The sequence below is a fragment of the Homo sapiens genome, chromosome 9, assembly GCF_000001405.40.
Source record: "Homo sapiens chromosome 9, GRCh38.p14 Primary Assembly".
Classification (NCBI taxonomy): Eukaryota; Metazoa; Chordata; class Mammalia; order Primates; family Hominidae; genus Homo; species Homo sapiens.
In genome coordinates, this window is record NC_000009.12 from 7201416 (window position 1) to 7215522 (window position 14107).

General features: G+C 42.5%; 1 long non-coding RNA gene across 1 annotated transcript; it reads left to right on the forward strand.

Annotated features, from left to right (window-relative positions):
- The first annotated feature begins 920 nt into the window (after positions 1 to 920).
- On the forward strand, positions 921 to 9090 carry LOC105375969 (uncharacterized). Its single transcript, XR_007061413.1, has 3 exons — positions 921 to 1532; positions 3573 to 4191; positions 7502 to 9090. It is a non-coding gene; the product is annotated as an uncharacterized LOC105375969 (long non-coding RNA).
- The last annotated feature ends 5017 nt before the right edge of the window (positions 9091 to 14107 follow it).

A 14107-nucleotide genomic window follows, 5' to 3' on the forward strand; every position in this document is an offset into this window, starting at 1 on the left:
CCATAAAGCTATTTTCCATCGGGCTTCTTTAAGGCCCACGTGATGATGACATGAGAAGTAGTTTCCATTTTCCCTCTGTTTAGCTCCATGAACACATTTAGTCTATATTGAGCCACAGCTCTACAATTAGACAGGTACATTCTCCTCCCCTTGGGTGCTTCCATGTTCCTCCAGGGTGAATCCCCAGTGGATTCACAGCCTGGCCAAGCACATTTTACATTTGGTAATAGAGCCCCTGGGGATTATGTGTGAAAGGATCAACAGAGATCAAATCTCTTCAGACTCTTTGCTTTATATTGCATCTTGATTTTTGCCTTAGCTCCTCTAGTTTTTGCCTTTAATTATGTCTGCAGAATAAGCCTAGAAGTTGCAACCAAGAAGATCAAGAGAGTAATTGAAAGTCATTTTATTACCTGGAAGAGGCTTAGCTTTAATAGGGAGTAGATAAAAAGATTGTAGGAGTCCCTACAGTTCAAAGGTTTTTCAAGAATACACATAAAAACAATTTATATCCTTTGAAAGCCAAAAAATGTAAAATCCAATCAATTAATATAGTAGTGTAGGTAAGTATGGCTAATTTGCCTGGAGAGATGAAAGAATTGGGAAACAGTCCCTACTATAGACACATGGGGATCCACGTGTTCCATCCGTGTTGTGACAAAAATTCAGTCATCATCCCACAAGGAGTCTCTTTGGTAATTAATAAATCATTGCAAGAGGGGATGGTAAATACAAAAATATTTGGGAAGATATCCCAAAATTGTTTGGGATTATATAAATTAGCATCTTTCACCTCAGATTTAGAATTGAGTAGAATTTTTTAAGAAAACCAAATATAAATTATTTATGTTTTTGCATTAAGGATCTGTACATGTTTAATATTTTATCATTTCTAAAACATAAAATAATTTTAGCCTGTTAGAATAAGGGCTGGTGTAGTAATTTTAATTTCATATGCATACTTCAGTAATTATTTAAACTTGTTATTTAAGTTGAAGTCAATTTATAAATAGTATTGGAACATGTAAAAATATTAAGATTTGCTGAACTTACAAATTTAATTCATAGCTTTAAGGGTTAAGTATTAGTTTTATATGCTAAATCAGAAAATTGGTGTATAAAAAGGCTATAGGATGGTAATGATGATGGATTTGACACTCTTATAACTCCCCTCCCTCTTAAAATCCTACTAAAGCTATAGCAAAGAAATTATCTTTTTTAAAAGATAGAAATCCATAAGGATGGGAAGAAAAGGCAAAAAGACAATGGCAATACATTTTGGAAGCTGAAAAGTAGAATGACTGTTAAATTACTTTAGCAGGTGCAAGAAACCTGAATCTTAATCCTGAAATGGAGAAAGCCAAGAACGTCCTGATCTAAACTACAGAGCCCTCAGAAGACTCAGAACAACACACAAGTTCTTGGGAAGCTACTGGAGGATGTGTGTCATCAAAACAAGGGAATCAGCAGTCCTGTATCTATGAAGAAACAACTGGAAATGATAGGTTCTTGAATTCCAATTTTCTTTTAGGGTGAGAAAGTGGGCCACTCAGCTCTGCTTTATAATATTGGGCTTCCGAGAATGATTAGCATTCAAGTGAGCAGAGATACTTCTAAAGTGTTCTATTATATAAATTATACAGGGATAAGAAAATGGGAGGTTAGCACAGACAGAGGCGGAGTTAACCTCCAGGGTGAGGGTGAAGGGAGATGTCTGGTACATAGCCCAGCCCCGGGTAGGGAGGACGAGCATCCGGACCCAAGCACTGAGGCACAGGAGGTAGACAGGCTGCGGATTGTCATCACCACATCATTGGCCACCATACCTTCTTCTTCTTCTTTTTAATAAACTTCATTTTTAGAGTAGTTTTAGGGTCATAGCAAAATTGAATGGAAGATACAGAGGTTTTCCACAAACCCTCTGCCCCAACACATGCATAGCCTCCTCAATTATCCACATCCCTCACCTCAGTGGTACGTTTGTTCCAATTGGTGAATCTTCATCGACACATCATGATTACCTAAAGTCCATACTTTACATTAGCATTTACTCTTGGTACATCTAAATTCTTTGGGTTTGTATAAAAGTATAATGATGTGTCCATCATTACAGTAACATACAGAGTAGTCTCACTGCCCTGAAAGTCCTCTGTGTTCTATTTGTCCCTCCCTCCCCCTTAACCCCATGGCAATCACTGATCTTTTTACTGTCTCCATAGTTTTGCCTTTTCCAAAATGTCATACATATGAAATCATACAGTATGTAGCCTTTTCAGATTGGCTTCTTTCATTCATTAATATGCATCTAAGGTTCTTCCATGTATTTCATGGCTTGATAGCTTATTTCTTTTTAGTGCCAAATAATATTCCATTGTCTGGATGTACCACAGTTCATTTATCTACTCACCTACTGAAGGGCATCTTGGTTGCTTTCAAGTTTTGGCAATTATGAATAAAGCTGCTGCTATAAACATCCATGAGCAGGTTTTTGTGTGAATATAAGTTTTTAACTCCCTTGAGTAAATACCAAGGAGCATGATTGCTAGGTCATATAGTAAAAGTGTGCTTAGTTTTCTAAGAAACTTGAAAAGAAGGACAGCTGTTGAATTAGCCCACAACTGAGGTTGGGCACTCATTTTTAACGAGGTTTCCAGTCACTCTCAGGAACCAATTTTGTCCACATTTTATTGTCCTCCAGCCCTTCTTCAGAGTGTGAGACAAGAGGGGCTAAATTTAAACAGGTAGGATAAATCTACAGTACTGCATTGGACAGGGTGCGGTGGCTCACGCCTGTAATCCCAACAGTTTGGGAGGCCAAGGCGGGTGGATCACCTGAGGTCAGGAGTTTGAAACCAACCTGGCCAACATGGCGAAACCCTATCTCTACTAAAAAATACAAAAATTAGCCAGGTGTGGTAGTGTGGGCCTGTAATCTCAGCTACTCGGGAGGCTGAGGCAGGAAAATCCCCTGAACCCAGGAGGTGGAGGTTGCAATGAGCCGAGATCGCGCCACTGCACTCCAGCCTGGGCAACAACAACAAAAAATGACAACAACAACAAAAAAGTATTGCACTGAACAGGACTTCAGAAGGACTTCTCAGACTGGGCATCCGCAAACATTGCCTGTGTATAAAGAGCTGGATAGTAAACCTTTTAGGCTTTGTAGACCTACAGTCTCTGTCCAAGCTGTTCAGTTGTGTCATTTTTGCACAAAAGCAGCCATAGACAGTACGTAAATTGGGGAATGTGGCTGTTTCAGTAACATGTTGTAAAAACAGGTGGTGGTCCAGACTTGGCCCAAAGACTGTAGTATGCTGACCCCTGCCTTAGATGAATGTGTGAGGACGTAGAAATGCTAAGGGCTGGATCACTAATGGTAGACTTTCAGGCTGTTTGGCAAGTGGGTGAATATCAGTCAGAATATTATTTGTTGCCGTTATTGGAAGACTTTCCAAACTTGTTTAAGCCAAAGGGGAATTTATGGCTTATATAATTGAAAATCCAGAGGCAGATTGGCTTTAGGAGCAGCCGGGTGCAGGGACGTATTGACTTCTGTTTTTTCTCATCTTCAGGCTCACATTCTCCTCTGTTAAGTGCATTCCCAATCAGCTTCTTTCCTCAGGTTGGAAAGTGGCTGCCAGCAGCTACCAAGGTGCTATCCTTCCAGATTCACATCCTGCAGAAAGAGCATGAGATTCCTGGCAGAAGATTTGAGATGCACTCAAAGTATACTGGCTGAAGTCGGGCCTTAAGTCTGGATGGGATGCCCCTTTACCTGCTCCCATTGGGTCCCGTACTTCCACCTTCATAACACTAACAATGCTAGAGTGTGGCAGCTCTCAAAGTGTCATCCTCCAGCAGCATCAGTATCACCTACCTGGACATTTCACAGAAATGCAGATTCTCTGGCTCCACCCACATCCTCTGAATCAGAAACTGTTGTGTGTGTGTGTGTGGGGGGGGGGGGTTCCGCAAGATATCTGTGCTTTAACAAGCCCTCTAGAAGATTCTGATGCACTCCCAGCTTGAGAACTCTACTTGCTCTAATGCGATTGCCTGTTTACTGTTGGGATCCCACACCAGATGTAAGCACCAGGAGGCAGGGCCGCATCTGTTCCATTCAACACTGTATCTGCCAAGCCCACAGTAGGTGCTCTCCTAATTCTATGTGGTAGACTTCAAAAGACAAAGGTAAGAAAGAATGAGGGGACAAGGCTGGAGACAGCTGCCAAGTGTCACACTTCTGCCTTCCTTCTTCCACTTTCTTCCTCTCGCCTCTGGAGTCAGTCACACTAGATGCTCCCATCTTTTTGCTTGTTTGTTTTTCGCATTGCCGAGGGCTCCATTACCTTTCAAATAAAATGGCCTCTATAGAAGCAGTCCTGGGGCTCTTGGCAGGCACCATTAGCCTGAAGAAGCGCCCTGGGACAGGACATACCCTCACACAGAGCTGGGGTGAGTGGTGGGCTCTGTGTTATCGGTGGGATTTGGCTGAGCTCCTTCAAGTCTATGTCCCTCTCTGGGGGCTTCCAACAGCTTGTGGTTGGAAGGTGTGTTGACTTCTCCACAGGAATCTATAGCACAGCACAGTAAATGTGTTGAGACAGTAAGTGAGCACACACAGTAAGTGTGATAAGGGTAGAAGCCAGATGCCTGCGAGAGAACCAAGGGGACCAGCTGGGGGATAGGGAGGGTAAGAGCCAGCGACAAATGTTGCAGCAGCAAAGGAATTCTAAGGGTTCCCTCTGAATTTTTCTCTCTTCTCCTCCTCTCCCTTCTCCACACTCCATCCCTACCCCTGTCTCCTTGTTTCTTTTACTGTCCCTGTCTTGATGTATCCATCATATGTGGTCATTTTCAGATAGGACAATGAACCCAAGTAGGAACTTTTGCTTTTTTTTTTCTTTTTTTCTATGAGACAGGGTTTTGTTCTGTCTCCCAGCCTGGAGTGAAGTGGTGTAATCTTGGTTCGCTGTGACGTCTGCCTCCCAGGCTCAAGTGATTCTCCTGAGGCATGCACCACCATGCCTGGCTAGCTTTTGTATTTTTAGTAGAGATGGGGTGGGTTTCACCATGTTGGTCAGGCTGGTCTCAAACTCTTGACCTCAAGTGATCCACCTGCCTCAGCCTCCCAAAGTGCTGTGGTTACAGGCGTGAGTCACTGCACCCAGCCTCTTTTTCTTTTCTTTAAATAAAGCAGCACATTCACGCATTCACTGTTCGAGACTGTGATTTCTGAGGAGCAGGTTTTCCTGTGTGCATATAGAGGAGTGACTTTCCCCCTTCATGTCTAGACTGGCATTTGAAATGACATTCTGGTCTGTTTCTTGCGTGAATGTGAAAATTGTCATCTGTGTTCTCATAGATATACTGTGGTTGCCCATGGGGTGAGAGGGCTTCACTTTGTGACTTCTCCTAAAGGTAGTCTATATCCCTGCTGTCAGTCACTGTGAAGACAGTGGCAATGGTGCTCCAGAGTGGCAGGGGTTAAAGATAGAGCCTGCCACAGGGAAGCAGGTAGAGAGAACGTCCCTCTAAGGGACCCAAATGAATGGGGGCAAATAGGATCCCAATTATTGAAGTCAGAGGTTGGCAAACTATGGCCTTTGGGCTTGTTTTTATAAATAAAGTTATATTGGAACATGGTCATGCCCATTCACTTACAAACTCTCCAAGTCTGCTTTAGCAATACTATGGCAGTCAAGTAGTTGTGACAGAGCCTTTCTGGCCCATAAAACCTAAAATATTTACTATCTGGCCCTTTACAGACAAAAGTTTGCCATCTTCTGCTCTGATGGAAGATTTATTTCCCCTTTTTATCACCAGCTTGGTCCTAGCCTGGTTATGTTTACAGGGTCCAGCTTGATTTTGTCTATGGTAATGGGCTTCAAATATTTATTATAAACATTTTATTTTTTGAGGCAGGGTTTCACTTCTGTTGCCCCGGCAGGAGTGCAGTAGCATGATCATGGCTCATTGGAGCCTCGACCTCCTGGGCTCAGGCCATCCTCCCATCCCCTTTTTACATTTTTTGTAGAGACAAGATCTCGTTATGTTTCCCAGGCTGGCCTCGAACTCTTGGGCTGAAGCCATCCTCCTGCCTTGACCTCCCAAAGTGCTGGGATTAAAGGCATCAGCCACCTTGCCTGGCCCTAAATGTTTTATTTAGAAATAATTTTAAACATAAAAAAATTAAAAGAATAAGATAGTACCAAAAATATGTTATACTCTTTACCAGATTCACCTATTGCTAACCTTTTATGCTTTTTGCTTTATCATTTGTGCTCATTCTTTTCTTACATATGTATATAAAATATTTATATTTTATTTCATATTTATTACATGTAATGTTTTTAATCCTTTAAAGCTAAGTTACATACCTCAAAGCCTGTATTTATAAATACTTCATGTATATGTACAGGTTTTTTAACAATTGGGATATTTTCTTTCATAACCAAGTATAGTTTTCAACTTTAGTAAAGTTAATATTGATACAATACTTTTATCTATTCTACCATCCACATTCCAGTGGATGTCCTTTGTAGGATTTTTTTCTCCCATCCAGTACAGGATTCAGGGACAGGAATTGCATTTGGCTGCTGTGAACATGAACCTTTGGCTTTTGAGGTTTGATTCTAATAAAGAATGAAGCACTTCCTTTAAAGCTCATCTTTAGAAAACTGTAAGGAAAAGGCAATCTTTTCTCCAGTTCTTTAGAGCTTATACCTGGGGAGCACCTTGAACAGTCTGGGGGAAATTTCTAGATAAAAGTCCATGGAGCAGGGCTTCTAGAAAGGTAGGTTCCTATAGCTGCCTACCCTATTCTCTGAACAGAGCAGCGATGCCACACATTTGGAGACCAGCATGGTCTTCAAGTAAGATAGTACCATGCTAGTCTCCAAATGACCCCCAGGGAGATGGATTTCTAGCAGAACCTCTTCATTCTCTGGCTGCAGTGGGTCCAAAAGATTCCTTTCCATGATGCATCCCAGCCTTACAGAAGAAATGCATGTTAGATCCTTCTATCATCCTGAGAATTTGGACATGTGAAAATAAGCAAGAAACCCAGAACCAAATGTATAGATTTGGAAGCTGTTGATCTGAGAAGAATCTGAGCCTGGTAACATAATAAGGATCAACTTTTTGACATTCAAATTAATTATATCAAATAGAGCTACTCTTTAAAGAATAATTACTGATCTTTTTAAAACAAAAAGAGAAAGATAATTTTTGTTAGTATAAATGGGTTAAACAAAAATGAATGTATACTATAGGCAATGAAGTTCGATTTGATATATGTGTACTATATTCATGTAATCTTGCAGAAGTGAGTATATATACAGCATACCATTCATGTAATTGTTTACTCATTTTTTCCATCAATGATTTATTGAAGATGTATTGTGTGCTAAGTGCTGGGAATAGAGAAATGAATCACACATTCCTTGATAAGTGGGGAGGGCCATTTTGTTGTATTAAAAATTTTGGATTTATCTTTCAGAAAGTGTTATTCTCACTGGCTCTGGCCTGGACCAAGAGAATGCAGGTTTGAAAGTTTGAGATTTTTTTTGGAGGGGGGTGGTGGCAGTAATCTTTTGGAAAACATGAAGCCCAGTAACTGTCTGAGGCTAAACCGAAAGCACTGGTAAAGGGTTTAAGATTCTAACGATTCTTCCAGAACAACCAGCCTGACAATGAGTAATATGCAGTTTGATGTGAAAATTAGAAAACTGGCAGATGAACCTGCAAAAGGGAAATTGGATTTCCAGAGAGACGAATGGGAGGCCATGCGGCTGAATAGAGTTCATAAGATGCAAACGCATGCAGGGAGCTGCAGCCCCCACTCGTTCCCAGTGTGCAAAGGAAGTTCCTGCATCGCGTGCCTATTATTTATTTATTTATGGGCAAAAAGCGAGAGTTCCATGGTGTGGTGTTTATTATCAAAATGGATGGATTCAATATCAAGCAATGATGTGTTCAAAATGAAAGCCACATCATTAAGTGTCACAGGCGTTTATTAACACAGTTCCCTCCTTAGTCGAATAAAACAGCCGTTATCCCACCAGGTCCCACACTCTCGCTTGCCTTTTTTCTTTGTCTGGCTTTGGCAGAGTCTCCGTTTCTGGAGACAGCTTGGCCGACAGCAAATCTGGGCAAAGCAGAGATATCCAAGGGAAGGTAATGAGGGATGGAAGACTCCTAGACAGTAGTTTTAGCAAAGAGGAGTCCATCCTCTAAAAGTACAAGCATTACTTGTTAACTGACTGCACTCTCACAACCATCTGTGCCATTAGCTTGTCCATTTATTGTCTATCCCTTTTCTCCTCTCTCTAACCTCTTCTCTCATTGCATATTATTAAAATCAAGAAATGGCTTCCATTCTGTGAGCTGTGACTTCTAACGTGGCCACATAGCTGGTGGAGAGGTGACAACCTTCATCTCCAAGGATCCCCTGCACTGCTTGCTTTATGCCCAGAGCAACCTCATGCTGACAAGGACTGCACAGTTTTGAACACCCATGCTCCAATCAAAAGAAACCAATTTGTGAGAGACGATATAAATCCATGAATACTGCACTGAAACCTCTTTCTGCTCCAGGCAGAGAAGATAAATTACCACCCGAGTGATATAAAGTTAGTTTGAATATTTCATTGGATCAAATGCAACATGTCTCAGAACCTCTCCTCTTTTAAGTCAGAATTAAAGAATTGTTATCAGGCATAATAATAGACACTATCATTTGCATACATTTTATCTCAAGAGACTTTTGAAGTTATGCAATACGCCAGTGGTTAATTGTTCTTCACACTCCTGACATATCAAATTACAGCTCAGATGAGAGAGCAACCCATTTGTGACTGGAATGATTGGCAGGAGCCTACAAGGAGAGCATCTTCGAGGACTGAAGGAGGAGTATCTTTTCAGGCTTTTCCATGGAGACCTTGGAGACCATGGGTTCTAGATGGTTCTGTTATAACATGATGGAGACTTCATTAGTCTGGGTTCCTAGACGAGTGTGAAACACTTTCCCCACTGATTGAATTACAATTATAATGTGAAAGAAAAATAAATCTTTATTGTGTAAAACTACTGAAATATCAGAGTTACAATACTGTAGTGTAGCAAATTCTGGCAAATACTTCCCAGCATATTTTCAATTCCATTTCATTGGCCAAGCCTAGATGATATGGTCACCTATAGCTGAAGGAAGGCTGGGAAAGATGGAAGAGGATTGCTTATTTGGCTTAAAAGAATCATGGTCTGCCCCCTGAGGCTGTTCTGACCCAGAAAAAAGTTGAGGTTCTATTACACGGAAGCAAGATATTAGGTAGGCAACTTTCAGTGTCTGCCAAATCACCAGACACTATTCAGGCTAAACAAGGAAGAAGCTAAAGCCAAAAAGGCAGAGGTGAATATCCAGGTATTTCTGTAATGGCATGCCTCAGACTAAGTGTCCCAGAAACGGCTGATCCCAAGTGGCTCCTTCTCCACCGTTTGAGCTGTCAAGACGCCTGGTTAAGTGACTGTTAAACGGCTACTGCCTCCTGCCTCCCACCTCCCAAAAGGCTGCCCTTGAGGTAGGGAGGGAAGTGATCCCACTATCCCTTTGCAGAATCTCTCAGAGAGGTTATGAGGCTGAACAGATTTGTGTTTGAAAGGAGCTTTGAGGCTGTGGCTTGAAAGGTACCACAGAAGTGCAAATGCCTGCAATTCATCGGCCTGCTGAATGGAACAGGAACTGAATTGCTTTAAACTAGAATTTCAGGGCCTATGGCTGGTGTCTGGGATTTGCACAATGGTTTTTTTTGAAAGTACTTTCTTCTGTGAATGCTGCTGTCTGTTCCCTCGGTTCCTCACCCAAGTTAACCCTCAGCACTCTCCTGACCATCTCCTGCTGGAAGAGGCAAAACTGCGAATTGTCCAAAGTTTGGCTCTCAAACTTCTATCAGCTCTTTCCCTGACCTTTTCTGGTATTCAGCCCTTCCGCCATTCCATAGTCTTCCCCTGCCTCAGGCCTTTTCTGTTGGGAGGAAATGAACTCCTACCAGCCAGACCCAGGGATTGGCCCCATAGGGACAGGTGGGTGGGTTCTGAGGATCATGATGGGACCCACCAAAACAAACTACCTGGAGGGTTTGTTAAAAGTGCATATTCCCAGGCCCAGGCCCAGGCCCAGCCCAGAGCCACTGATGTAGGATCTTCATGGGTGAGTTTCAGGAGTCTGCATTTTCCCAGGCATGTGAGTGTTTGCTAGAAAGTGTTCTCAAGAAAGATTCCCTACACGATGCAGGAATTGTGAACACTTGTATTGTCCCGGGTCCTGCACTGAGTGTCTTCCCTTTAAGCTCTCATTTTATCTTCTTAGGACCCTAGGAAGTACCTGTAATTCTCTGCATTCCTCCATTTTCCAGATGGGGAAACTTGACTGAGGAGCTCAGCCAGGATAGAGACCCAGGCTCTACACTAGCACTCTAGCCTGATTGAGTTATCTGTTTCCCCTCCCTGAAAATTACCATTTTAAAAAGAATTTCAGGGTGAGAATCTAGTGTAATGGATCTGCAGTGGTGATGTCTCTGGCAGCAGAACTGGTGGGAGGCTATTACCCAATGCCACGGTGTCAGGAAGAGTTAAATCCTTTTGACAATTCAATGGCTCCCTTTAGCTTTGCCCAAATGGCACCTGTTGTTGAAGTCAATAGAGCTTACAATTTAATTTCATCTGCTTGCAAACAATCTCTTTCATTAGAGGGTGGAATGATGATAGGATTCTCCCAGCCATGCGGTTTCACTTTCTACAGGGGCAATGTATGAGTACAGTCATTGTTTTCTGCAGAGAGAGAGAAAGAGAGGGGGCAGAGAGAGAGAGAGAGACACTCACCACACTGCCTGTTACAAGGAAGTAGGTGTCTGGGTAAAGTGGGTGGGAATGAGTGAGGATGAGAAGGGATGGGAAGGGGTCAAGCTGCACGTGGAGCCCCTAAGAGACTGCTCAGTCTTTTCCCTCTGTGAGCTGTCAGCCGTGCCCTTGCAGGCTAATCAGTATGCTCAACGGAATCTGAATGCCTCCATTATCCAAATCACAAGGAGGTGGCTTTTACATCTATTATAGATGAACTCACAGCATGGGCATGAGGGACTCTTTCTGTTCAACTCTGAGCCAAATGGAAACTTTGGTTCAATAATAAAGGTGATGAAGAGAATAATAACTAAGCAATAGCAGTGCTAGTAATAGTTACCATTTACTCGCTACTGTACTAGGTGCATTGCATACATTTCTTTCTTTAATTTTCTCTACAACTCTGGGAAGTAGGACTCTCGTGCCCATTTTATAGAGGAGGAAGCTGAGACAGAGCTAGAAGAGGTAACTGTCCAATATCACATAGCCAGTAAAAAGAGCTAGGACTGGAACCCACCTTTTTCTGAATTCAAATGTATACTTTTCTACCACGCCTGTGACACTCATCCTCCAACTGAGTTTCAGTAATGAGATAAAGGGCCCATCATTCTCTGTGGATCAGAACCATTTCCATGACAACCATGAAACATTACTCATTATGTCCAGAGTATTGAAGGTATTTACAGTCCCTTCTTTTTTCCCCGGGGAATTTCTTAGAGAAATTGGCAGGAGGATACTGTTAGAGATTTCATTTTCTTTTACGAGTTATTGGTGATAGAGTGTACGTGTGTGTTTGCATGTTCTGGCAATACTGGTGTCTGGCGTGTGACCTGTTTTTTATTAAAGTTATAGTTTTTGCAGGGAGATGGGGTTATCACTGGTGCTTTGGGAAAGCAGGTGTCAATGCTGGAATGACTCTGGCATTCAGAAGGTGATTTCAAGTTCTTTGTCCGAGAGATGTACATGCTAATAGGAAAAATGCACTTTCTTCTTTGCAGGCTAAGTGCTGAAAGATTATACTAGCTCTGCAGATTGCAAAAGGCAAATAAAAGTACAGACGTGGCCCTGGGAGGCAGACTTGGAAGGGAAAGGGAAGGAAGAGAGAGCAATGTCTCTGAAGAAGGCAAAGGAAGGGCACAGTCCCTTCCTGCAGTTCTGTGGAGTGCATGTTGCATGGGGCAGGCACCTGGCCTATTTCCACAAGTGCACCTTTGTCTCTTCATCTCACCTGAACATCATCTTTTCCCAAACCTACTTCCCTTCTTCTCATCCAGAACACTCCTGTCCCCTTGAGCCAATGCTCTTATCCTTGGCCTCAGTTGGGGTTCATACTTTATTTATTCTCTGTTGCTTCCAGACTCTGGTTCTGCTACTGTGACTGGGCAACTCCTCTTCTCTTGAAAACTCAAGAGAAACCTGCTGCCTATACCCTGGTCCCTCATCTCCACTAAGTGCCTTCCAAGGCCTCCATGCTCTGCCTCTTGGTTGAGACCCCTTCTTCTCTCAGTCAGTACCAGCTCTCATCCTCAGTGTCTTCAGTATCTACATTACTGACTCCTCCAATATCTAACCTTCTCCATTGCTTAATTTTTTATAGACAGGGTCTCTCTCTGTGTTCCAGGCTAACGGGAGTGCAGAGGTGCAATCATAGCTCACTGCAGCCTTGAACTCCTGGGCTTAAGCAATCCCACCTCAGACACCCAAGTAGCTGGCACTACAGGTATACACCACCAGGCCTGGCTAATTTTTTTTTTCTTTGTAGAGACCCATCTCTACAAAAGATGGTCTTGTTATGTGCCCACCATAGTCTCAAATTCCTGGGCTGAAGTGATCCTCCCGTCTCAGCCTCCCAAAGTGCTGGGATGACAGGCGTGAGCCACCATGCCCTGTCCATCCCGAATTTCTTAACTTCTTCAATCTCAAAGACAGTCCTATTTGCTCTTTCAGTCACCCACAGGCACTCTTATTCTAGATCTTGCTACTGCTTAGGACTCTGCTGCTTCTTATTTTACCAGCTATTTTGTGAACACCTTGAGGGTAGGAATGTAGTTTAACTTGGATTTACTCATTTTTGTCCCCTGACCCATCACTGAATATGGAATTATGTACCTAATGAGTGCGATTAGGTATATAATGTACAATGAATGTACATAATGTACAATTGTACAATGTACAATGTAATGTACAATGTACAATGAATTGTACATAATGTACAATGAATGAATTGTGGCAGTGAATTCAACAGGTTACTAGAGCTTAATGCTACAAAAAAAACCAAAAAACAACAACAACAAAAACTGTCATACATAGCTTCCCATTCTCTAACTTCATGTTGAACAACTTTCTGATAGTGTGACAGAGTCAGCCGATCTCCAGGTCAGTCAGCTGATGTGCAGTGGTCATTTGTCATAATCATGGACACCCTACGTCTTTTGGGCTCCCAGCTTATATTTTGGTGATTTTTTCTCTTTGAGATTTGCACCTTTGTACCCAGGTTCCAAGCCAGCCTGAACACTAAGGCCAGACATGTGATCCAGTTTCCACCAGTGAGATGGGCCCCATGACGAAGAAGGTCACATTCAGCATCCACCTTTCCAGAGAGAATGGCAGGAAGTAACTGGGCTTTCAGGAGCAACAGAAGCAAAATACCTAGCAGTAGAATCCTGCAGCCACCACACAGTGTGTCATGCATTGTATCCACTGGGCAAGCTGTGTTGCTGCATCCACAATGACAGTGAGACTGACCTGTGAGTGATCCAGCATCTGGGTTTACTTCTTGGCTGTGGGGTCTCTGAGCCTGATTCACTGGCTCTGAATTCCTGGAAATTCTGTGAGTTTAGCATTATCTTTAATGATTTTCTTTTATGGCCTAAACTAGATAGCGTAGGTTCTATTGTTTGCAACTGAAAATCCTGGCTTATGTGAGTGGGCATTTCTGTTTCTTACTGTGAATTGAGAAGTGGCATTCTATTATACCTATAATCCCAGCACTTTGGGTGGCTGAGGTGGGAAGATTGCTTGAGCCCAGAAGCTCAAGACCAGAATGGGCAATGTAGTAAGACCCTGTCTTTATGGAAAACAAACAAACAAACAAACAAACAAACAACAGAAAAATGAAGTGGGCATTCTGGTTTCCCTGATTCTAGCCTGCTCTGGGACAGAGACAAGATCTGCATTACTGAATCTGCAAAGCAGTGAGTGTCAGGTCCTG